General features: G+C 46.7%; 1 long non-coding RNA gene across 1 annotated transcript, besides 5 other annotated features; it reads left to right on the top strand.

Annotated features, from left to right (window-relative positions):
• Positions 5,042-5,221: an enhancer, noted in NCBI's record as "active region_29741". NCBI's record gives its function as "activates an Ori minimal core promoter by ATAC-STARR-seq in GM12878 lymphoblastoid cells {active_cell/tissue: GM12878}" and the evidence as "EXISTENCE:reporter gene assay evidence [ECO:0000049][PMID:35858748]".
• Positions 5,364-20,175, top strand: LOC107985688 (uncharacterized). The gene is made up of 2 exons (XR_001755878.2): positions 5,364-5,648; positions 19,540-20,175. It is a non-coding gene; the product is annotated as an uncharacterized LOC107985688 (long non-coding RNA).
• Positions 7,368-7,497: an enhancer, noted in NCBI's record as "active region_29740". NCBI's record gives its function as "activates an Ori minimal core promoter by ATAC-STARR-seq in GM12878 lymphoblastoid cells {active_cell/tissue: GM12878}" and the evidence as "EXISTENCE:reporter gene assay evidence [ECO:0000049][PMID:35858748]".
• Positions 21,085-21,174: an enhancer, noted in NCBI's record as "active region_29739". NCBI's record gives its function as "activates an Ori minimal core promoter by ATAC-STARR-seq in GM12878 lymphoblastoid cells {active_cell/tissue: GM12878}" and the evidence as "EXISTENCE:reporter gene assay evidence [ECO:0000049][PMID:35858748]".
• Positions 21,224-21,518: an enhancer, noted in NCBI's record as "tiled region #11812; HepG2 Activating non-DNase unmatched - State 1:Tss, and K562 Activating DNase matched - State 1:Tss". NCBI's record gives its function as "activates a minimal TATA promoter and a strong SV40 promoter by Sharpr-MPRA in HepG2 and K562 cells {active_cell/tissue: HepG2 | K562}" and the evidence as "EXISTENCE:reporter gene assay evidence [ECO:0000049][PMID:27701403]".
• Positions 21,575-21,624: an enhancer, noted in NCBI's record as "active region_29738". NCBI's record gives its function as "activates an Ori minimal core promoter by ATAC-STARR-seq in GM12878 lymphoblastoid cells {active_cell/tissue: GM12878}" and the evidence as "EXISTENCE:reporter gene assay evidence [ECO:0000049][PMID:35858748]".

Below are 25,057 nucleotides of genomic sequence, written 5' to 3'. Positions count from 1 at the left end.
CCCCGAGTAGCTGGGATTACAGGCGCACACCAACATACCCGGCTAATTTTTGTATTTTTAGTAGAGACGGGATTTCACTATGTTGGCCAGGCTGGTCTCAAACTCCTGATCTCAGGTGATCCACCTGCCTCAGCCTCCCAAAGTGCTGGGAATATAGGCACGAGCCACCGTGCCCGACTGAGATATATTGTTTTGCATCCTGCTTTTTTCACTTTTTTGATGACCATTTTGTAATGTCATTCAGTATGCCTCTAAAACATGGTTTTTAGTGGCTGCATAGTCTCCTTTGATTTTTTTTTTTTTTTGAGACGGAGTTTTGCTCTTGTTGCCCAGGCTGGAGTGGAGTGCAATGGCGTGATCTTGGCTCACTGTAACCTCCACCTCCAACGTTCAAGTGATTCTCCTGCCTCAGCCTCCCAAGTAGCTGGGATTACAGGCGTCTACCACCACACCTGGCTATTTTTTTTTTCTTTGTATTTTTAGTAGAGAAGGGGTTTCACCATGTTGGCCAGGCTGGTCTCGAACTCCTGACCTCAGGTGATCCACCCGCCTCGGCCTCCCAATCCTTTCACCTTTTTTTTTTTTTTTTTTTTTTTTTTGAGATGAGGTTTTGTCCAGGCTGGAGTGTAGTGGCTTTTCACAGGCACCAGCATAGCTCACTGCAGTCTTGAATTCCTGGGCTCAAGCGATCCTCCTGCCTCAGCCTCACAAGTAGCTGAGACTACAGGGACTACAGGAGTGCTGCCTCCAGCTCTCCTTTGATTTTTGTTATAATTTTCTCTACTGGTCTCTCTCTTGTATCTGTGACTGCTCCATGCTTTCTTCTTATTGTGCCCCTTAAATGTTGTTACTCAGAGTTCCTTTCTCTGTTTACTTTTCTTTTCTTTCTTTCTTTCTTTCTTTTCTCTTTTCTTTTCTTTTTTCTTTTTTTTTTTTTTTTTTGAGACGGAGTCTCGCTCTGTCGCCCAGGCTGGAGTGCAGTGGCGCGATCTCAGCTCACTGCAAGCTCCGCCTCCCAGGTTCACACCATTCTCCTGCCTCAGCCTCCCGAGTAGCTGGGACTACAGGCGCCCACCACCAAATCCAGCTAATTTTTTGTGTTTTTAGTAGAGACGGGGTTTCACCGTGTCAGCCAGGATGGTCTCGATCTCCTGACCTCATGATCCACCCGCCTCGGCCTCCCAAAGTGCTGGATTACAGGCATGAGCAACCGCACCCGGCTTTTCTCCCTTCTCTCCCCTCCCCTCCCCTCCCCTCCCTTCCCTTCCCTTCTTTTTTTCTTTCTTTCTTTCTTTTGACAGGGTCTGGCTCTGTCACTCAGGCTGGAGTGCAGTGGCGCAATCTTGGCTCACTGCAACCTCCACCTCCCGGGCTCAAGCAGTTCTCCTGCCTCAGCGTCCCCAGTAGCTGGGATTACAGGCATGTGCCAGCAAACCTGGCTAATTTTTGTATTTTTAGTAGAGACAGGGTTTCAACATGTTGGCCAGGCTGGTCTCAAACTCCTGACCTCAAGTGATCCATCCACCTCAGCCTCCCAAAGTGCTGGGATTACAGGAATGAGCTCCCGCACCTGGCCTAGACAAAATACTTTTTAGGACAGGGAACCATTCATCTCTGTATTAGCACCTATGTGCCTGGCACATAGTAGGTGTTTAGAATATGTTTGATGATGATTGAATGAATGAATGAATAAATGAATGAAAGTGATCAACAAATAAATGACTTGAGGCCTTCAAGCTGTCCTTCAGCTGTCAGCATGAGAATCCAGTCATCTTTTTATCTTGGCCACATTTCAGGCAGCACTTCCAGAATTGGAATGATCTGCACAGCAGCCTTAGCTATTATAAAAGCTGTGTCCAGTATGGCCTGGAGAGACCATAAAGGTGTGTCACACATGCCAACCTATTTGGCCTGCATCATCCATCATGGTTACCCACTCTTCCAAGGTCAAGAATTCCTTTTCAGGGAAAGATTAACTTCTGGATCGTGGTAGCCTCTTTTTCCAAATGGCTCCAAAGAGCTTCTGCTTCCACTTCCTCACCTCTTTAGCACCAGTCACTGCTCTCTCCAGCTACTTGTAACCCACTGGCTTGGGATGATGGGCCTACATTGACCTAAGGCTGATTTTATTTTATTTTATTTACCTATTTATTTTGAGATGGAGTCTTACTCTGTCGCCAGGCTGGAGTGCAGTGGCACAATCTCAGCTCACTGCAACCTCCGCTTCCCAGGTTCAAGCGATTCTTCTGCCTCAGCCTCCCTAGTAGCTGGGACTACAGGTGCACACCACCACGCCCAGCTAATTTTTGTATTTTTAGTACAGATGGGGTTTCATTATGTTGGCCAGGATGGTCTCGATCTCCTGACATCATGTTCCGCCCGCTTTGGCCTCCCAAAGTGCTGATATTATAGGCGTGAGCCACCGTGCTTGGCTGGACCTCAGCTGATTTTAAAGAATGCATGGACAGGCCATGCTTGGTGGCTCACGCCTGTAATCCCAGCACTTTGGGAGGCCGAGGCGGGCAGATTACCTGAGGTCAGGAGTTCGAGACCAGCTTGGCTAACAAGGTGAAACCCTATCTCTACTAAAAACACAAAAATTAGACAGGCCTGGTGGCACATGCCTGTAATCCCAGCTACTTGGGAGGCTGAGGCAGGAGAATTGCCTGAGCATGGGAAATGGAGGTTGCAGTGAGCCAAGATCATGCCACTGAACTCCAGCCTGGACAACAGAGTGAGACTCTGTCTCAAAAAAATAAAATAATAATAAAAATAAAATAAATAAATAAATAAATAAATAAATAAATAAATAAAGCATGGACAGGCCAGGCTTGGTGGCTCACACTTGTAATCCCAGCACTTTGGGAGGCCAAGGAGGGTGGATCACCTGAGGTTGAGAGTTTGAGACCAGCCTGACCAACATGGAGAAACCCCATCTCTACTAAAAATACAAAATTATCTGGGCATGGTGGCACATGCCTGTAATTTTAGCTACTCGGGAGGCTGAGGCAGGAGAATCGCTTGAACCAGAGGTGGAGGTTGTGGTGAGCTGAGATTGCACCATTGCACTCTAGCCTGGGCAACAAGAGAGAAACTCCGTCTCAAAAAAAAAAAAAAAAAAAAAGAATGCGTGGACAAGAAACTTATCTGAGTTGTCACCCTTCCTACCTCATACCTCATCATCCTCAAGCGAACTGTCAGGTTGAAAGTTACTGAGGCTGCTCTGAAGCAAATTGTTGGCGATTTTCCAACAAGGTTTCCCAGATTCTCTTCTCTCAACATATCACTTCATGTTTGGAAACAGGAGTGGGTACTGCTGAATTACTAACGAAACTTGGCACCACAGGTTTCATTTCAATAAATATTTGTTAAGTTCCTGGTACCTACTGTGTACCAGGAACTCTGTTAGGGGCTGTGGAGGATGCAAAATGAATGAGATGAGTCTCATTGGTTGTTTAAATAAGTAGCTCTACTACAAGGTAAGTGAAATCAGTGTTAAACAGAGGTATTAGCAATATGTTGTGGGAACACAGGTAAAAAGGGGAAGGGGGATGGGAAGTCATGTTTACTGAACACCTATGACAGCAAGTCTTGTCACACATGTTTTCACAGAGATTAATTCTGACTAGGGGAATCTGAAATGATTTCATGGACTAGGACGTTTGAGTTGGGCCTTGGAAGGGAGTAGTAGACATTGGATCAGGAAAAAATCAAAGGAAGAATGCTTGAAGTTGAGAGGACATTGTGTAAAAAGGCAACAGGGCATGAAAGTGCATAAGCTGTTCAAGGAACACAGGATATTGGATATGGCTGGGCCATAGGGTATAAAAGGGTAGTGTGGGTAATGAGGCATGGAAAGGTGGGCTGGCACCAGATTTTGGAGGAGTTTTAGTGCCTGGCTTGGAAATTTGAATTTTATTTTTTATTTGGTAGGCAGTGAGGAACCACTAAAAGCTTTTCAGTGAGAATGACAAGGTAGAAACAGTGCTTTAGGGTGATTAACGTGACGGGGTGCACTGGGGACTAAGTAGGCTAGAGGCTGCAAAGGTAGGTAGGAGGCTGTGTCAACAATCTAGGCATGAGATTATGAAGGTTTAATCTAGGGAGGTGGCAATAGTGATGAAAAGGAAGTGACGAATATAATAAGATTGCAAGAGGCAATGTTGTGTGGTACAAAGTACATTGGATGGGGTTTCCAATATCCCTGAGTTCTAGTCTTTTTTTTTTTTTTTTTGAGACAGAGTCTCACTCTATCGCCCAGGCTGGAGTGCAGTGGCGTGACCTCCGCTCACTGCAACCTCCACATTCCGGGTTCAAGCAATTCTCCTGCCTCTGCCTCCTAAGTAGCTGGGACTACAGGCCCCCACCACCACGCCCGGCTAATTTTTGTATTTTTAGTAGAGACGGGGTTTTGCCATGTTGGCCAGGCTGGTCTCGAACTCCTGACGTCAGATGATCTGCCCGCCTCGGCCTCCCAAAGTGTTGGGATTACAGGCGTAAGCCACTGCGCCTGGCCCCTGGGTTCTAGTCTTGACTTCCATTCACAGGCTGTATTGCCTTGCCTCCCACAGACTCAATTTTTTCTTTTGAAAAAGGCGAAGCTGGCTGGGCGTGGTGGCTCACGCCTTTAATCCCAGCACTTTGAGAGGCCGAGGTATGCGGATCACCTGAGGTCAGGAGTTTAAGACCAGCCTGGCCAACATGGCACACCCCCATCTCTACTAAAAACACAAAAATTAGCCGGGCCTGGTGGCACGCGCCTGTAGTCCCAGCTACTCAGGAGGCTGAGGCAGAAGAATTGCTTGAACCCGGGAGGCAGAGGTTGCAGTGAGTCGAGATCGCGCCATTGCACTCCAGCCTGGACAACGAGAGTAAAATTCCGTCTCAGAAAAAAAAAAAAAAAAAGAAAGAAAAAGAAAAGAAAAAGAAAAAGGCGAAGCTGGAGAAATAAGTACCTTTAAGGTTTCCTACAGCTGGAATATGCTTAACGACTGTACTGCATGGGGCTTTATGTAGGACTAACTGACCAGACTTGGTAAAGGATTAACTAACTAGGAAAATGGAGGTGCCATGAATAGGATAGTGGAGTCAAAGAGGGAAGCTAGTAGTATGGGGAAAGATGATGTGCAGACATGCTGGGTGTGAGGTGTTAGTGGAACACCTAGCTGACTGTACAAAGGGTGGGATAGCAGCTCTGAAGCAGGCAAGGGTGGGAGAGATTTCGGATTTGGCAACCAAAAGCCTGAAAGCAACACTAGAAGCTATGCAGACAGATGAGTTTATCGAAAGAGGAAATGAGTATATGAGAGCAAAGAGCGAAGAACCATGGGAAGTGAGAAAAGCTGGTGGGGGGAAGACAAGGAAGGAACAACTGCCTGTGAGCCTTGAACAAGCTACTTCCATTTTCTGGCTCTTTAGTCTCCTCATTTGTAAAATGAGGGGGCTGGAGTAAGTAAGCTCTATAAGGCTCTCAGCTGTGACATCTATGCATAATCACAGAAGATCGAAGTGTACAGAACACCATGGAAACTGAAGAGAGATTCTGAAAGGAGGCTTTAAGAGGTCACTTGCATCCAATGCTGCAGAAGTGTCAGAGACTGAGGACTTAAATGAAGCCACTGATTAGCAATTTAAAGATCCTCTCCAAGGTAAGGACCCCTCCCTCTCAAGCCACTACTTTTCTATGACCTTTCTCCTACCATCTCTAAATGTGAACATTCTGTAAAATTCCGTTCTCTGGCTGGGCGCCGTGGCTCACGCCTGTAATCCTAGCAGTTTGGGAGGCCGAGGCGAGCGGAGCACCTGAGGTCGGGAGTTTAAGATCAGCCTGACCAACATGGAGAAACCCCATCTCCACTAAAAATACAAAATTAGCCGGGCGTGGTGGCGCATGCCTGCAATTCCAGCTACTTGGGAGGCTGAGGCAGGAGAACCACTTGAACCGGGGAGGTGGAGGTTGCTGTGAGCTGAGATCGTACCATTGCACTCCAGCCTGGGCAACAAGAGCAAAACTCTGTCTCAAAAAAAAAAAAATTTCGTTCTCTGCCCTCCAGGGAGACTTAGCCACACTCCCATAGCAACTGTTATCTCTACAAGGTAGATCAGAAATCTCTGGTTCATACCTTCCTTTCGCACCTCAATTCACATTTCCAACTGTCTATTGGACATTTCCACCAGTCACTGAAATTTAGCTTGCAGTAAAATTAATAATACTAATGATAATAGCATTATTTAAATTTAAATAGTATTAAATTAAATAGTATTATTTAAATTATTAAATTTAGCTTGCAGTAAAATTAATAATACTAATGATAATAGCTAACACTCAGTACTTAATTTTGGGTCCTGTACTAAGCATATCACATATGTTATCTCCTTTACATCCTATAACAATCCTACAAGGTAGGTATTTTATTATCCCCACTTTGTCGATGAGGAAGCTGAGGGTCAGAGATTTTTTCTTTTTTTGAAACAGAGTCTTGCTCTGTTGCCCAGGCTGGAATGCAGTGGCGTAAGCTTGGCTCACTGCAACCTCCATCTCCTGGACTCAAGTGATCCACCCATCTTAGCCTTCTGAGTAGCTGGGACTACAGGTGCCTGCCACCATGCATGGCTAATTTTTCTATTGTTTGTAGAGACAGGGTTTCACCATGTTGCCTATAGCTGGTCTCGAACTCCTGGGCTCAAATGATCCACCCACCTCGGCCTCCCAGAATGCTGGGAGTACAGGCATGAGCCACAGCACCCAGCCCAGAGATGTTAAATAATGTCTAAGGTCACATAACTGGGGTGTCACGTAGTCAAGATTCTTCCTGATTCCACAGCCTGAGAGCTTAATAGCTTCACTATAATCGATCTAAAAATCAAGTCATTATATTTATTTCCCAAATCAGATCACCTCCCTTACTTCTCTATTTCTACTTCTACTTCACTCTCCCCCAGTATCTTTTCATTGGCTTAGAACAGGCCCTCATCCCCTCCTGCTCAGACAATTATGAAAGTGTCTCAAATGGTCTCCCCACTTGCAGTTTTACCCTTCCAATTCCGGACATGTGATCAATCCGGCTTAAAAAAACCTCTGAAGGCTCCCATTATCTAGATTACAGAATAAAGTCCAAACTCCTGAACATGGCTAAAGGAGTCCCTTCACAGTCTAGCCCCTAGCAGCCTGCAGTTTAGCTGCACTGAACTGTTAGTCATCCCCAACCATGTCACAGACATTTACATCTGAATGCCTTTCCTCATGTGTCCCTCTACCTGGAGTGCCCTCCCCACTCTTCACTGGGATAACTTCTACTCATCTTTCAAATCCCAACGTCATCTTCTCTGTGAAGATTTCTCAGATTCCCAACCCCTTCTTCTGATAGAAATTATGTTCCCTTCTTGTGCTCCTGGATCTCGATGTCTGTCTCTTACTACACTATGAGACCTTGGGGGTGATGACCACATCCTGTTCTTTTTTTTTCTTTTTTTCTTTTTTTTTTTTGAGACAGAGAATGAGATATGACCAAACAGTTTTAAGGAGCTAAGGTTGACTTTAGGTACCAAATGCTAACAAAGCCCTCATGAGAAAACTGGCCTGGTACCTGGCTTACAGGGATCCCAGCCTTATTATTGTTTACAAAACAAGCCTAGTCTCATTAGAGTCAGTATTATTGCCTGGGTGGGTGCAGTGGCTCATGCCTGTAATCCCAGCACTTTGGGAGGCTGAGGCAGGCGGATTACTTGCCCAGGTAAGTCACAAGGTCACTTCTTGGCAGAAACCTTAAGATATTTATGGGACTTTGAGAAGAGAGGAATTCACCCAGATTTATAGATACCACAGGTGAAATCTGGTCACAAGTTCTTGGCTTGGCTTCCTAGCCTCCAGAAGGCTTTTAAAAATCTAATATGAGGCCAGGCGCGGTGGCTCACGCCTGTAATCCCAGCACTTTGGGAGGCTGAGGTGGGTAGATCACGAGGTCAGGAGATCAAGACCATCCTGGCCAACATGGTGAAACCCTGTCTCTACTAAAAATACAAAAATTAGCCGGGTGTGGCGGCGCATGCCTGTAGTCCCAGCTACTCAGGAGGCTGAGGCAGGAGAATTTCTTGAACCTGGGAGGAGGAGGCTGCAGTGAGCCGAGATCATTCCATTGCACTCCAGCCTGGCGACAGAGTGAGACTCTGTCTCAAAAAACAAACAAACAAAAAAAAACAAAAACAAACAAACAAACAAATCTAATATGAGATTCCAGGCTGGGCACCGTGACTCATGCCTATGATCCCAGCACTGTGGGAGGCCAAGGTGAGTGGATTGCTTGAGCCCAGGAATTTGAGACCAGCCTGGGCAACATGACAAAAACCCATCTCTACTAAAAATATAAAAAATTAGCCAGGGATGGTGGCATGCACCTGTAGTCCCAGCTACTAGGGAGGCTGAGGTGGGAGGATCATCTGAGTCTGGGAGGTCAAGGCTGCTGTGAGCCTAGATTGCGCCACTACACTGCAGCAGGGGTGACAGGACGAGACCCTATCTCAAAAAAAAAAAAAAAAAAAAAAAGAAAATGGGCCAGGCGTGGTGGCTCACGCCTGTAATCTCAGCACTTTGGGACGCCAAGGCGGGAGGATCACAAGGTCAGGAGATGGAGACCATCCTGGCCAACATGGTGAAACCCCGTCTCTACTAAAAATACAAAAATTAGCTGGGCGTGGTGTCATGGGCCTGTAGTCCCAGCTACTCCGGAGGCTGAGGCAGGAGAATCCCTTGGACCTGGGAGGTGGAGGTTGCAGTGAGCTGAGGTCATGCCACCGCACTCCAGCACTCCAGCTTGGCCACAGAACAAGACTCTGTCTCAAAAAAAGAAAAGCAAAAAAAGAAAAAAAAAAAGAAAATAAGGCTGGGCGCGGTGGCTTGCGCCTGTAATCCCAGCACTTTGGGAGGCCAGGGCGGGTGGATCACTTGAGGACAGGAGTTCGAGACCAGCCTGACCAACACGATGAAACCCTGTTTCTACTAAAAATACAAAATTAGCCAGCATGGTGGCACATGCCTGTAATCCCAGCTAAGTGGGAGGCGGAAGCAGGAGCATTGCTTGAATCTGGGAGGCAGAGGTTGAAGTGAGCCAAGATCGCGCCACTGCACTCCAGCCTGGGCGACAGAGCGAGACTCCATCTCAAAAAAGGAAAAAAAACTCCAGGCATGGTGGCTCACGCCTGTAATCCCAGCACTTTGGGAGGCCGAGGTGGGTGGATCATGAGGTCAGGAGATTGAGACCATCCTTGCTAACATGGTGAAACCCCATCTCTACTAAAAAATACAAAAAATTAGCCAGGCGTGGTGGTGGGCGCCTGTGGTCCCAGCTACTAGGGAGGCTGAGGCAGGAGAATGGTGTGAACCTGGGAGGCAGAGCTTGCAGTGAGCTGAGATCGCGCCACTGCACTCCAGCCTGGGCGACAGGGTGAGACTCTGTCTCAAAAAAAAAGAAAGAAAAAAAAAAGAAACAAATCTGTCACAAGATGACTGTTGAATTTCTTGAGAGAAAGAATGTTGGTCTCTAGTGTGACATATTCCTCATGGATTTTTTTTTTTATTTAGGATGAGTTAGATTATTGTTGCTTCGGAAAAGGCAATATTACAAAAAGAGGGAAGGAGTTGATTTAAAGGCAATTTAAAGAAAAATGTTAAGTAAATAATAGTACAAGTAGTCATGCAAATAGAGCAAAAATCGTGAATGTGATACTTGAATAACTAAAGTTTGGGAAATATTGCCAGAATATTCAGGTGAGAACTAAGCTAAACTGTGTCCTGGGAGAGTCTAGCAAGATACTCTTGCATTTAACTGCAAAAAAGGTTAAATTACCAATCCAGTTGGTATGCAGGGGACAGATTCCTCATCCTGACCTGCTGGACTCTAAGGCAAGGCTGAGGGGAGCATAGCCTAAGAGTACAGGTGCATGGGCAGGCTCATCAGCTGGACTCATCAGCTCATCATGGGCAGGAACAGCTGGGGCAGGGCAAGGATGAGGACAAAGGCAGAGCAGCCCCAAACTTGCTGGCTCTAGATCTGTGTTTCCAGTGGTCTTCCAAACATCTCTTGGATGTTCCTCAGGCACCTCTACTGATGTGCTGAAGTCAGCTTGTACTGGCAGCCAATTGTTATTTTTTATTTTACTTTATTTTATTTTTTGAGATGGAGTCTCACTCTGTCACCCATGCTGGAGTACAGTGGTGCGATTTTGGCTCACTGCAACCTCCGCCTCCCAAGTTCAAGCAATTCTTCTGCCTCAGCCTCCCGAGTAGTAGGGTGGGCAACACAGCAAGTCCTCATCTCTACAAAATACTTTAAAAATTAAGAAAAATAAATAAAAATTTAAAAATAGGCTGGGCGCAGTGGCTCACACCTGGTAATCCCAGCACTTTGGGAGGCCGAGGCAGGTGGATCACAAGGTCAGGAGTTTGAGACCAGCCTGGCTGGCATGGCGAAACCCCATCTCTACTAATAATACAAAAAACTAGCCGGGCATGGTGGAGCGCGGCTGTAGTCCCAGCTACTCAGGAGACTGAGGCAGGAGAATTGCTTGAACCCAGCAGGCGGAGGTTGCAGTGAGCTAAGATCATGCCACTGGACTCCAGACTGGGTGACAGGGTGAGACTCCATCTCTAAATAAATAAATAAATAATGAAATAAATAGATAAAAATTAAAAAATAGAAAATTAGCCTGGTGTGGTCCTAGCTACTTGGGAGGCTGAGGCAGGAGGATCACTTGGGCCCAGGAGCTCAAGGCTGCAGTGAGCTATGATCACATCACTGCACTCTAGCTTGGTGACAGAGTGAGAACCTGTCTCTAGAAAAGAAAAGAAAGAAAGAAAGAAAGAGAAAGAAAGAAAGAGAGAAAAGACTATTCTATTCCAATAGGGGAGAAAGATGGAGTTCAACTCCAAATACAGTACAAATACAGTAAGGACACATGGGGATTTATTTATAGCCGAGGAGTGGGGTAAGGGGTCAGTGGATGGACAATTACTGAGAGGAGACATCAAGAGTAGGGCCAAGGATTTAGAGATCAAAAGTAGGGGAATGGCCGGGCGTGGTGGCTCATGCCTGTAATCCCAGAGCTTTGGGAGGCCGAGGCAGGTGGATCACGAGGTCAGGAGTTTGAGACCTGTGTGGGCAACATGGCAAAACCCCGTCTCTACTAAAAGTACAAAAATAGTAGCTGGGTGTGGTGGCAGTTGCCTGTAATCACAGCTACTTGGGAGGCTGAGGCAGGAGAATCGCTTGCACCCGGGAGACAGAGGTTGCAGTGAGCTGAAATCGTGCCACTGCACTCCAGCCTGGGCGACAGAGTGAGACTCTGTCACCACAAATAAAATAAAATAAAATAAAATAAAATAAAATAAAATAAAATAAAAAATAAGGCCAGGTGCCGTGGCTCATGCCTGCAATCCCAGCACTTTGGGAAGCTGAAGCGGGCGGATCACAAGGTCAGGAGTTCGAGACCAGCCTGGCCAATACAGTGAAACCCCATCTCCACTAAAAGTACAAAAATTAGCCGGGCTTGGTGGTGGGAACCTGTAGTCTCAGCTACTCAGGAGGCTGAGGCAGGAGAATCGCTTGAACCTGGGAGGTGGAGGTTGCAGTGAGCCGAGATCACGCCACTGTACTCTAGCCTGGGCGACAGAGCAAGACTCTGTCTCAAAAAATAAATAAAATAATAAAATAAAATAAAAGTACAACAATTAGCCAGGCGTAGTGACGGGCACCTGTAATCCCAGCTACTTTGGGGGCTGAGGCATGAGAATCGCTTGAACCCAGGAGGCAGAGGTTGCAGTGAGCCAAAATCGCGCCACCGCTTTCCAGTCTGGGCGACAGAGCGAGACTCTGTCTCAAAACAAACAAACAAACAAACAAACAATCCAACCAAAACAAAACAAAAAGTGGGGCAATGAAGAACTTGATCAGATATCAATGGTAGGGGGATAACTTAGCAGGATTCCCTGCTAAGACTTGACTGAGCAGGACAAAGACAGGACAAGGGCCAAAGTAGAGGTCTAGTCAAAAAGAGAGCTCAGAGGAGCCTAAATAAAGTTTGGTCAGTGAGAGATTCTTTGTCATTCCCTCCTTTTGTTCAAGGCAGGAAGTGACATTCTTCTTTCCTGTGAACAGTTTAAGTCATTTCTCATTCAGTAGCCTTTTGTTCATTAAGGACCAGCTGAACCATGTGTTAAGACTTGGTAGTAGAGGATATTTGCAATCAGGTATTTAATGAGGGTGGTTTCTGTGAAAACAAAAGAAAAAAAAAAGACTGATGGTTGGAGCAGACTATAAATTCATGAGTCCAGAGGGCAACCAGTTGAGAAGATTTCTATACACTGGGCTTGAAGCATCTTTAGATGGTGGAGTGAGGACAGCAGTGGCAAGCCAAGGGATTTTCTGGTTTGCAGTTTGGGTGGTTATTTCCTGGAGCAAAGCATGGAAGAGCATGGAAGTTCCACTGAACTTCCTGAGTGGCCCACACAGCAGCAGGCACGAAGGTTGTTCATACATGATCTGCTTTGGTGACGACTCCTTTGAAGGTTTATTATCAAGGTGTCTTGCTTTAGCTTGTAGGGCTTCTTTAGATCCTGGGGAGAAAGAAAGTCAACTACAAGACAACCTAGAGTCCCAATAAGGATCTAGGCAGTCAGGTTTTAGTTCCCAGTGTCACCAAGTCAGGGGGGTGGGAAAAAAATTGGAAAGACCAATTTAGAGAGTTGTAGCTAGATATTGAAGGAAACTGGAAGAATTGTGAACTTGTTGAGGACTAACAAAATGCACAAGACAGCAGAATCTAGTCCAATTTACAGGTAGATAACAAAGTAGAACGTAAAATGCAGATTGCCAAGTGGTGAAAAATATTTCAAAGACAATGAACAGGACTAGAGTCTAGTAACCCACAAGGATGTGCTAAAGTTTTCTATTGAAACATAAAATTTCTTTCTACAGTCACCCCCCCTTTTTGATCAATGGCAATCAAAATCAGTGTGCAGAAGGGGGGATTAAAAACAAACAAACAAGGCCGGGCATGGTGTGGCTCACGCCTATAATCCCAGCACTTTGAGAAGCCGAGGCAGGGGAATCACCTGAGGTCAGGAGTTCGAGACCAGCCTGGCTAACATGGTGAAACCCCGTCTCGACTAAAAATACAAAAATTAGCTTGGCATAGTGGCATGTGCCTGTAATCTCAGCTATCCAGGAGGCTGAGGCAGGAGAATCGCTTGAATCCGGGAGACAGAGGTTGCAGTGAGCCGAGATCATGCCACTGTATTCCAGCCTGGGTGACAGAGGGAGACTCTGTCTCAATTAAAAACAAAAACAGGCCAGGTGCGGTGGCTCACACCTGTAATCCCAGCACTTTGGGAGGCCGAGGCGGGTGGATCACGAGGTCAGGAGATCGAGACCATCCTGGCTAACATGGTGAAACCCCATCTCTACTAAAAAATACACACACACACACAAATTAGCTGGGCATGGTGGCGGGCGCCTGTAGTCCCAGCTATTTGGGAGGCTGAGGCAGGAGAATGGCGTGAACCTGGGAGGCGGAGCTTGCAGTGAGCCAAGATGGCGCCACTGCACTCCAGCCTGGGTGACAGAGCGAGACTCCATCTCAAAAACAAAAACAAAAACAAACAAAACAAACAAACAAACAAAAAAGATAATCAAAGTAAGGTTATTCTTTTTTGTTTTTGTTTTTGAGAGGGAGTTTCACTCTTATTGCCCAGGCTGGAGTGCAATGGCATGATCTCAGCTCACTGCAACCTCCACCTCCCAGGTTCAAGCGATTCTCCTGCCTCAGCCTACCAAGTAGCTGGGATTACAGGCATGCACCACCACGCCCAGCTAATTTTGTATTTTTAGTAGAGACGGGGTTTCTCCGTGTTGGTCAGGCTGGTCTCGAACTCCTGACGTCAGGTGATCCACCTGCCTTGGCCTCCCAAAGTGCTGGCATTATAGGCGTGAGCCAGCCACCACACCCGGCCAGTAAGGTTATTCTTGTTTACAAACCAAGTCTGGTTTCATTAGATTTGGTGTTATTGTCTGGGCATGGTGGCTCATGCGTGTAACCCCAGCACTTTGGGAGGCGGAGGCAGGTGGATCACTTGAGGTCAGGAGTTTGAGACCAGCTCAGCCAACATGCTGAACCCTGTTTCTACTAAAAAATACAAAAGTTAGCCAGGTGTGGTGGCACATGCCTGTAATCCCAACTACTTGGGAGGCTGAGGCAGGAGAATCGCTTGAACCTGGGAAGCAGAGGTGGCAATGAGCCGAGATCACGCCACTGCACTGCAGCCTGGGTGACAGAGTGAGACCCTGTCTCAAAAATAAATAAATGAATAAATAATAAATAAATGAATAAAATAATTTGGTGTTATTGTTTACATAAGAGCGGCAAGAATGGTATGTGGCCACATAGGCCTTTTTCAGTCTGCTTTGCTGTAACTTTTAATAAGGAAACTCATACTAGTTTTTTCTTTTCTTTTCTTTTTATTTGAGATAGGGTCTCACTTTGTTGCCCTAGCTACAGTGTAGTGGCGCAATCTAGGCTCACTGCAGCCTCGACCTCCCGGACTCAGATGATCCTCCCACTTCAGCCTCCCTAGTAGCTGGGACTACAGGTGCATGCCACCATCCCTGGCTAATTTTTTATATTTTTAGTAGAGATGAGGTTTTGTCATGTTGCCCAGGCTGGTCTCAAACTCCTGGGCTCAAGCAATCCATTCACCTTGACCTCTCACAGTGCTGGGATCATAGGAATGAGCCACGGTGCCTGGCCTGGAGTCTCATATTAGATTTTTAAAAGCCTTCTGGAGGCTAGGAAGCCAAGCCAAGAACTTGTGACCAGATTTCACCTGCAGTACTTATAAATTTGGGTGAATTCCTCTCTTCTCAAGGTCCCATAAATATCCTAAGATTCCTGAGCCTGCCTGCCATGAAGTGACCTTGTATCTTACCTGGGGAAATGATCCACCGCCTCGGCCTCCCAAAGTGCTGGGATTACAGGCATGAGCCACCGTGCCCGGGAAATAACACTGAATCTAATGAGACCAGGCTTCTTTTGTAAACAAGAATAAGGCTGGGATCCCTATAAGCCAGGTACCAGGTCATTTTTCTCATGAGGGCTTTGTAATCTTTTGGTCCATAAAGTCAACCTTAGCTCCTTAAAACTGTTTGGTTATATCTCATTCTATGCATACTATTCTCGAATATGACATTCCAGTCAGAGTCTTGGTTATAGAACCAATGTTTTCAGTTATGTCCTGTTAGAAGGAGGACAGATTCTTATTGGATTTATGCAGATAATTATATTGCTATGAAAATAAGAATACTCAATAAGAGTTCCCAAATTCCACAGGAATCAGTCAGAGAGAGAAGATAAATATCTCATTTCTGTTTATAAAAGTCGGGCACGGTGGCTTATGCCTGTAATCGCAGCAGTTTGGGAGGCTGAGGTGAGTGGATTACCTGAGGTCAGGAGTTCGAGACCAGTCTGGCCAACATGGCAAAACCCTGTCTCTACTAAAAAATACAAAAGTTAGCCAGGTGTGGTGGTACTGCCTGTGATCCCAGCTACTAGGGAGGCTGAGGCAGGAGAATCACTTGAATCTGGGAGGCGGAGGTTGCAGTGAGCCAAGATCGCGCCACTGCACTCCAGCCTGGGCAACAGAGTGTGATTCCATCTCAAAAATAAATAAATAAATAAATAAATAAATAAATAAATAAATAGGCCAGGCGCAGTGGCTCATGACTGTAATCCCAGCACTTTGGGAGGCCGAGGTGGGCAGATCACGAGGTCAGGAGATCGACACCATCCTGGCTAACACGGTGAGACCCCGTCTCTACTAAAAATACAAAAAAATTAGCCGGGCGTGGTGGTGGGTGCCTGTAGTCCCAGCTACTCAGAAGGCTGAGGCAGGAGAATGGCGTAAACCCGGGAGGCGGAGCTTGCAGTGAGCTGAGATTGTGCCACTGCACTCCAGCCTGGGCGACAGAGCGAGACTCTGTCTCAAATAAATAAATAAATAAAAGTATAATCTACTAGTTGTTATGAGTATAGATAACTGAAAAGAAAAAAGGGCTTTCTTAAATCCAGCAGCAATATTCTAAATAAAAACCATAATAATCTTTCATCAGTTTATTCAGTCCTATGTAATTAATTCTTGTTCTGTTAAGATATTGGGTTAGCAGTTTTGTGATCCCATTGGCTTCTCCACTGGAGTTCTGGAAATCTCGACTTAGTCCAGTGGTACAGTCTCAAAGTTATTTAAGCAATGCCATCAGAAGCCTGTGCTCTCAGAGTATCTGGTATAGTTCTTTCCATGGGTCTCTGAGACCAATTGTTAAAATTTTAGGAATTTTTCGAGTGATTGATGTCACATTAGGGGTGGCTTGAAATTAGGGGTGGGAGTATTTACCACAGAAATTGGTTCATCAAGCCTTTTCCCACCATCTAGAACCAGTAGTTAAATGTCTTCGAGCACATCACTGGGTACCTCCAACTCAACATATGCCAAACTGAATCACTTATCTCCCTCCATAAAACCTGCTCCCCATCCTAGATTCCCAGTCCCTATATGAATGATGTCACCACAGGCCCAGTTTCTCAAGCAAAAATTTTTTTGAGTTGTTTCTGACTCCTTTTTCCCCCCTCACTGACCACATCAATCACTTAGTCTTGTCAATTCTCCTTCAGAAATGTTTTCCCGAACTAATCCTCTCTGTCACTATCTTAGTTCAAGCTCTTATCATTTTTTTTTTTTTTCGAGACGGAGTCTTGCTCTATTGCCAGGCTGGAGTGCAGTGGCGCAATCTCGGCTCACTGCAACCTCCGCCTCCTGGGTTCAAGTGATTCTCCTGCCTCAGCCTCCTGAGTAGCTGGGATTACAGGCATGTGCCACCATGCCCAGCTAGTTTTTGTATTTTTAGTAGAGATGGGGTTTCACCATGTTGGCCAGGATGGTTTCGATCTCTTGACCTTGTGATCTGCCTGCCTCGGCCTCCCAAAGTGCTGGGATTACAGGCATGAGCCACCGCGCCCGGCCGCTCGTATCATTTTTTTTTTTTTTGCCTGCACAGTTGCAAGAACATCTTGAGTTATCTGCCTGCCTCCAGTGCAACCAGATACTGTCCCCTGTGGTCTTTCTAAAACACCCCAGTGCAATACAGGTACTTGCTGACATAAAGACCACAGTTGGCTCCCCTTTACCTATGGGAGAGTATCCAAGATCTTCAGCAGCTCTCAGAAAAGCCTTTATAATTTGGCCTTAGGTCTTCTTCAGATTCATGTTCCCCACCCCTCCCTACCATGTACCCATTGTCCTGTATGAATTGCTTACTGTCCCCCAAATGTGCCTTACTCTTTAAAAACTTTATTCCCTCTGCCTGAAATCCTCCTCACCACTCTGAGCCTGGAAAATTTCTCTACTTCTTCTTTTTTTTTTTTTTTGAGACGGAGTCTTGCTCTGTCACCCAGGCTGCAGTGCAGTGGTACGATCTCGGCTCACTGCAAGCTCCACCTCCCGGGTTCACGCCATTCTCCTGCCTCTGCCTCCCGAGTAGCTGGGACTACAGGCGCCTGCCACCTCGCCCGGCTAATTTTTTTGTATTTTTAGTAGAGACAGGGTTTCACTGTGTTAGCCAGGATGGTCTTGATCTCCTGACCTCATGATGATCTCCTGACCTCGTGATCCACCCACCTCGGCCTCCCAAAGTGCTGGGATTACAGGTGTGAGCCACCGCGCCCGGCCAAAATTTCTCTTCTTCTTTAAAGACCCAGCTCAGAGTTAATATTCTTTGTGGGCCAGGCCCAGTGGCTCATGGCTGTAATCCCAGCACTTTGGGAGGCTGAGGTGGGCGGATCACTTGAGGCCAGGAGTTCAAGACCAGCCTGGCCAACATGGAGAAACCTCGTCTCTACTAAAAATACAAAAATTAGCTGGGCATGGTGGCCCATGCCTGTAATCCCAGCTACTTGGGAGGCTGAGGAAGGAGAATCGCTTGAACCTGGGTGGCAAAGGTTGCAGTGAGCCGAGATCGCAACACTGCACTCCAGCCTGGGCAACAGAGTGAGACTCCATCTAAAAAGAAAAAATTATTTGCGAACTCTGTCAGGATAAGTTAGTATTCCCTACCCCCATCCCCACACAGTTTGTCTGTGCCTCTAATATAGAACTTATCACACAGTATTGGAGATACCTGTAAAACAGGTCTGGCTCCCCTACCGGACTGTGTGTTACCTCAGAGCCTAGCATGGTACTTGGAACATGGCAAGAGCTCAAAAAATGCTGTTGAAAGAGTAGATGGAAGGGTGAATAAGTGAAGTTGGTCCCTGCTCTCGTAGACTGTTTCCTGCTTTGTTGTACAGAAGCCCCTTCCTGAAGCACCTGTTCTGGTGCCCCCAGCTCCTGCGTCCTACCTTAGTGCCCTATCTGGCACCTTCATCTTCACAGGGATAGTGCTTGTCTAGCTCTTGCCAGACCTTTTGACACCTGGCATCCTTCCCTGGAAGCCCAGGCCCCATGGCAGGGCCTCTGTCACTGGCTGCCAGACACTCTGGCTGCCAACCACCTGCCTGTCTGGGCTTCCTCCTGGCTTCTGCTGCATCCTGGTTACCCAGATGCTTGCTCTACCTGCCTGTCTAAATAGCTGGCTGAGGCTCTGCTTCTACTTCTGGGATCTTCTGCTTTACCCTGGACCATCTGTCTGCTCTCAAAGTCCTGACCCTCCCTGTTCTAGCATCCCCTGTCACCAAAGGAATCCAACTTCTATCACTGTCCTTCTAAAAGATAAGGTAGAGCATACTGATTAAATGCACAGGCTCTAGACTTTAATTTCCTAGATTCAAATCCCACTTCTTTCACTTACAGCTAGTTGTGTGGTGTTGGGGTAAGTCACTTCATCTCTTTGAACCACAGCTGGCTCATCTGCAAAATGGGCATGATAATGATACCTACATCAGAAGGTCACTGTGAGATTTAAAGAAGATAACATGCTTAATATATACCTGGCACCTAAGTAAATATCCAAGAACTATTTTCTATCGTTATTGTTTTTATGTTTCCAGTATCTACGACAGAATTGGCACTCAACAAACGTGTGTTGAGAGGGGAGGAGGAAAAGAAATAACAATCACTGGTTATTCCATTTCCTGATCAAAGTCGATTCCATTTGCTAATCCCACTCCCACCTCGGGAGGCAAATACCTTATCTCCATTTGGTTCTGTCACTCAGCTATTTCTGCAATCCCATGTCCTCTAGGAATCCTTTGCAGTTGAGAGCCAATAGCTTTCCTGGTCCCAATCTGCCTAGATAAACAAAAAACTCTCACGATTGCCCACTCCCACTTTTCATCTCAGTTACATGCATTTATCCTGATTCCTTCCCCCTGAAATTGCACTGACCCCAGATGTGTGGCTGGTGTGAACATTTGTGGATTACACATTTTACACATGAACCTACTTCTCCCCACCCTGCATGTATGTGCTTTCTGCATTTTCTTTTTTTATTTTATTTTTTTAAGACAGGGTCTCACTGAGTGCAGCGGCACGATCTTGGCTCACTGCAACCTCCGCCTCCCAGGTCCAAGCGATTCTCCTGCCTCAGCCTCCTGAGTAGCTGGCATTACAGGTATGAACCATCATGCCCAGCTAATTTTTGTGATTTTAGTAGAGACAGGGTTTCACCATGTTGACCAGGCTGGTCTGGAACTCCTGACCTCAAGTGATCCGTCTGCCTCGGCCTCCTAAAGTGCTGGGATTACAGGCATGAGCCACCGTGCCTGGCCGCTTTCTGCATTTTTAGTGTCACTCAACCCTTGTTGTCTCTGATTGTCAAGGCAACGACTACGTGTAAAGTAATGTGGACAGAGTCTTGGACAGAGAAATGCCTCAGAAATGTTTTGTGATGAAGATGAAGGAGAGGCGCTGGAAGCAGAAACTGGGGAGGGGGTAGGATTCGTGTCTCCACTTACTCTCCACCCCAGCAGGGACAGAAAGCATGCCTCCTCTTTCCTGTTCATTGGCTACATTCCTCTCTGAGGCCAGAGGGGCAAGCTGGACAATGCAAATGAACTTTGGATGAGACTTAGCCAAGGGGCCTCCAAAGGGAGAGCAGCGGGGCTGCTTAGGAGGGAATAAAAAAATAAGGTGGTCACCTATTTCTTAGCACCTTCTTTGTTTTCCCAATCGGCAAACTCCTGTCCTCTCCTGGAGATCCAAGACCAAAATGCAAAAGCTCCCTCAGAATATGTGCCTGAGTCTGAGAGCACTTTGCAGACTGGGAGGCCCCTGAGTCTCTAGCCTTTGGTATGATACTCAGGCTCCGGGGAATTGATCCTGCACCCATTATTCACAAAGCCCTATACAAGGCAGTGTTAAACTTAGGTCAAACTGCAAGTTTTCAATCACATGCTTTAGCTGTGGGATAAAGAGACACAGCAGAGAAGTGGTGATGGTTGTGTGAGCATCAAAGAGCAAATGAGACTACAAGAAGCAGCCCAAAGGGGGCAAATTTAGCCAGTCTCTTGCCAACTTCTCACTATGGATGTTCTATTGGCTTCATTTGACCCTATCCAGGAAAGCTAGGATTTCTTGTGCAGGTGGAAGTCCATTCATTCGCCTATTTCAGGGGTCTGGGTCCAGAAGAGCTTGTTAGTTCAGTCTCAGCTCCCTACTTTTCTTACTCCCCCTTCCTTTCCCCCTCCTCCTATTAACGACTGAAGGTCTGTTTCCTCTTTAGGGCTGCAATTTTGCATTTGCAGCCCCCGGCAAAACTGTCATACGTGCCCACCGCAGGTGCCCACTGCAGATGCCCGAGACCCAGAGAAATGTTTGTAAACTTTCAACCCTGACTGTACTCCCCCGGACTCCTCCCTCAGTGGGGCCGGCTGTTGGGGCAAGGCAGCTGACCTTTGCTAGGGACTCAGAGCTGCGGGGGTTCTGGAATTGAACTGGAAATTGAGTGGCAAAAGCCCCGCTGTCGTTTCTCCTGCCCCTGCTCCCACCCCGATCTTGTGGACGAGAAAAAGCTCAAAGAACAGTGAGGGGTTAAGCTCCTTATAAGGAAATGAACCTCCTCTTTCCTGTACGGAAATTGTGCTTTTTGCTTCTATATGTTCAAAATACACTGTAAAAAAACGATCCTCGATAGGATTCACCAAATCCACTTCCCTAGGGCGAGGCGGCGGAGGTGGGGGGTGGGCGTCGAGTGGGAGCGAGGAGAGAGAGGACGGGAGGGGCGGGAATCAGGCGAGTGTGTGAAGAATTTGAGGGATGAGTCATCAAAAACAAACTGGGAAAGGGAGCGGAACTAGTAATCCGAGCTGGGAAGCAGACGAACATTCATTAGACGCAGATCGTGTCAATCACGTTTGCTCCGCAAATGACCTGAGAGCCTGCCGGGCCTCTCCGACCGGAAAAAGGGTTTTGGTGGGCGGTCTAAAGATTTTGAAATCGGAAAAGGCAGATTGCTAGCGAGCCGTCAGAGCAGCTTGCCGCAGCTCAGGCGGGCTCCGCAGAAAGATGGCGTTTGCTATCAAGGTCACATGGCCACTTTAGGGGACTAAAACGAAATACTAGCTGAGAACAACAGGAACTGCCAGCACAGGATCAGATTTTCAGAAGCAGTCTCAATTCTAAGTGTCTTTTTCTAATTAGAATCGTAAGCACATTTTTTTGTATTTGTCCGAACACATGTCCTAAGTCATCAAAACTATGTGAAGGGGTGGAGTTTCACTGGGGGTCTTCTCTTTCCGGGAGCCTGAAAAGGATGGGAGGAGGGTGGGGGAAACCCAAGGGCCAGGGTAACCGCAGAACCGGAAAGCAGCACGTGCCAGGACAGAAGGCACCCACTAGGGTCTCTGCACTGAGAGCAGTATGGGAAACCGATTCCACCAGGGACTGTGAAACTCACTAGATCTGTTAGGCTGGTGCAAAAGTAATGGCGGTTTTTGCCGTTAAAGGTAATTGCAAAAACCGCCATTACTTTTGCACCAACCTTCAGGTTCGGGTCTACGCAGCTTTGTCTAACCTCTGACCTCTCATGAGTTGGGAAAGGTTACCCTGGCAAAAAAGGATTTGCTTAGGTGCCCTATACATTGTACCAGATAACTTCCTCTATGATTTTTTTTTTTTTTTTTGAGATGGAGTTTTCACTCTTGTTGCCCAGGCTGGAGTGCAATGGCACGATCTCGGCTCCTTGCAACCTCCGCCTCCCGGGTTCAAGTGATTCTGCTGCCTCAGCCTTCGAAGTAGCTGGGATTACAGGTACCTGCCACCACATCTGGCTAATTTTTTGTACTTTTAGTGGAGATGGGGTTTCACCATGTTGGCCCAGCTGGTCTCGAACTCCTGACCTCAGGTGATCCACCTGCCTCAGCTTCCCAAAGTGCTTGGATTACAGGCGTGAGTCACTGCGCCTGGCCTCCTCTGTGGTTAAGCTTTATTTATTTATTTATTTATTTATTTATTTATTTATTTATTTATTTTGAGATGGAATTTCGCTCTGTCATCCAGGCTGGAGTGCAGTGGTTCAGCTCAGTGCAACTTCCACCTCCCGGGTTCAAGCTATTCTCCAGCCTCAGCCTCCCGAGTAGCTGGGGTTACAGGAGTGTGCCACCATGCCCAGCTAATTTTTGTATTTTAGTAGAGATGGGGTTTATTTTATTTTTATTTAGTAGAGGCAGGGTTTCACCATGTTGGCCAGGCTAGTCTCAAACTCCTGACCTTAGGTGATCTGCCCATCTCGGCCTCCGTAAGTCCTGGGATTACAGGTGTGAGCCATCAGGCCCGGCCAACTATGGTTAAACTTTAGTTGATACAAGATAAGAAATGTGAACACTGTAAGCCCATTTGTTTGTGTGTTCTCTTGTTACCTCTTTTGGTTACTTTCTTATTCATTAGTGTCCTAGCAAATGTTACTTTTCAAAAATTGCAGCCTTGTCTTAACTAAAAGATAAAAAGGAATTTGTTTACTTCTTAGCCGGTACAGTTAGAGGGCATGCACTCTGGCAGCCCTGTAATATAGGGACCAGGGAAGAACTGAGGCAAATAAAAGTAGTGATCCATGAATCGAAGCATTCAAATCTAGCTGATGGTTTCTTTCTTTTGCACTTCTGCCATTTTCATGCCCCTCACCTGCAATTGACAATCCAAACTGAGAGCTGGTCCAGGATTCTCCAGCACCCAGAAGAGCCTGAGTGGGCACAACAGAAACTCAGACTTTAAGGGTACCTAGGAATGGAAGTAGTAGCAGAAGGATTAACCTTTTCATTAGCTCAGTCTTGTCCTTGCTCAGCTCTGGCCATCCCAGTTCAAGCCATCCCCTCAAACTATGCTCTACTAATACTCCTTTATAAGTTATCATCAGACCACTCCAGTTTTTGTTTGTTTGTTTGTTGTTGTTGTTGTTGAGACAGAGTCTCAGGCTGTCGCCCAGGCTGGAGTGCAGTGGCGCGGTCTCGGTTCACTGCAACCTCCGCCTCCCAGGTTGAAGTGATTCTCCTGCCTTACCCTCCAGAGTAGCTGGGATTACAGGCACCCGCCACCATACCTAGCTAATTTTTGTATTTTTTGTAGAGACGGGTTTTCACCACGTTGGCCAGGCTGGTCTCAAAAATTCCTGACCTCAAGTGATCCGCCCACCTCGGCCTCCCAAAGTGCTGGGATTACAGGTGTGAGCCACCGCACCCAGCCTCAGTGTCAGTTTTATTGATCCTTTTGAATCTATTTAGGAATGGGGCTTGAGGGAAAAGGGGGCCACCATCTGTTCTGTTATCTGAGGCACCGTTTCTCCCTCCCCTAACCTTTAAGAGGGGCTGTAGGAATTCTAAGTGTAGTTTCAATAAACAGGTTTCTTATGGAGGAGCTATTCTAGCTCAGTCGTTCTAGAATAGTATAGCCCACTCAGGAAGAAACAACATTTAAACTTGAGCTCAGGGGGAACAAGACTCATTTACTGCTCCTCCCTTGGCCACCCTAGACAATCATGACAATTTCTCTTGGTCACGTCTGAGAGAGAGGTGTTGTAATAATCTTTTGTGGATACTCAAGTCATCATAAGAGAATGTGTGGGGGTAGAGAGAGAGGGACATGGCAAACCCAGTCCTGTAGTATTCTGGGGAAAGTACTCTGGGGGAAGATACTCTATTTACCCCAGGGGTACTCTAGGGAAAAATATAAACTTTGGTAACATAGGAAAGGATGGCTATGAGGCCTGGTTCAGGACTTTCCCTTTCCTCCTCTTCTTTTCCATTTACACAGACCCCAGAGTGCCTCTGAATGGCTGGTTCTATCCTACTGGAAGGAAGATAGCCCCATCCCTAGATGCTGGGAAGCAGTTCAATGCTCTTGATTTAGGAAGGAGGGGGAAGGCGGCTTCTACACAAGGGCGCTATATTCTGTCTCGGACACCAGGTGGCACCAAATCATAACCATAGGTCCGAAGAAACCATCAGGAAATGGACCTTGAGAGCCCTTGAACTATTTTCCTCTCCCTCCCCACTCCCCACATGAAATTGAAGAATATGAAGCCTTTCAGATATGGCAGATGACCCTCCTTCAATGAAAACTCTTGAATTCTTAAGCCAGAGCCACTTCCAGCTGAAGATTTTTAGGATTTATTATTATTATTTTTTGAGAAGGAGTTTCACTCTTGTGGCCCAGGCTGGAGTGCAATGGCGTGATCTTGGCTCACTGCAACCTCTGCCTCTGGGTTCAAGCGATTCTCCTGCCTCAGCCTCCTGAGTAGCTAGGATTACAGGTGCCCGCCACCACACCCAGCTAATTTTTGTATTTTTAGTAGAGACAGGGTTTCACCACGTTGGCCAGGCTGGTCTAGAACTCCTGACCTCAGGTGATCCACCCGCCTTGGCCTCCCAAAGTGCTGGGATTACAGGTGTGAGCCACCGCGCCTGGCCGATTTTTAGGATTTAAATGTGGCATTAGTCCCTGTTCTTCCCAGAGACCTATTTTTCAGCTTCAGAAAAGGAAAAAGGTGATTTTCCTAGAACCTTTCTGGATGCCACCACCCTCCAGAAGAGT

Source organism: Homo sapiens, chromosome X, assembly GCF_000001405.40.
Source record: "Homo sapiens chromosome X, GRCh38.p14 Primary Assembly".
NCBI classification, from domain to species: domain Eukaryota; kingdom Metazoa; phylum Chordata; class Mammalia; order Primates; family Hominidae; genus Homo; species Homo sapiens.
This window is presented reverse-complemented; position numbering and strand designations above follow the sequence as displayed.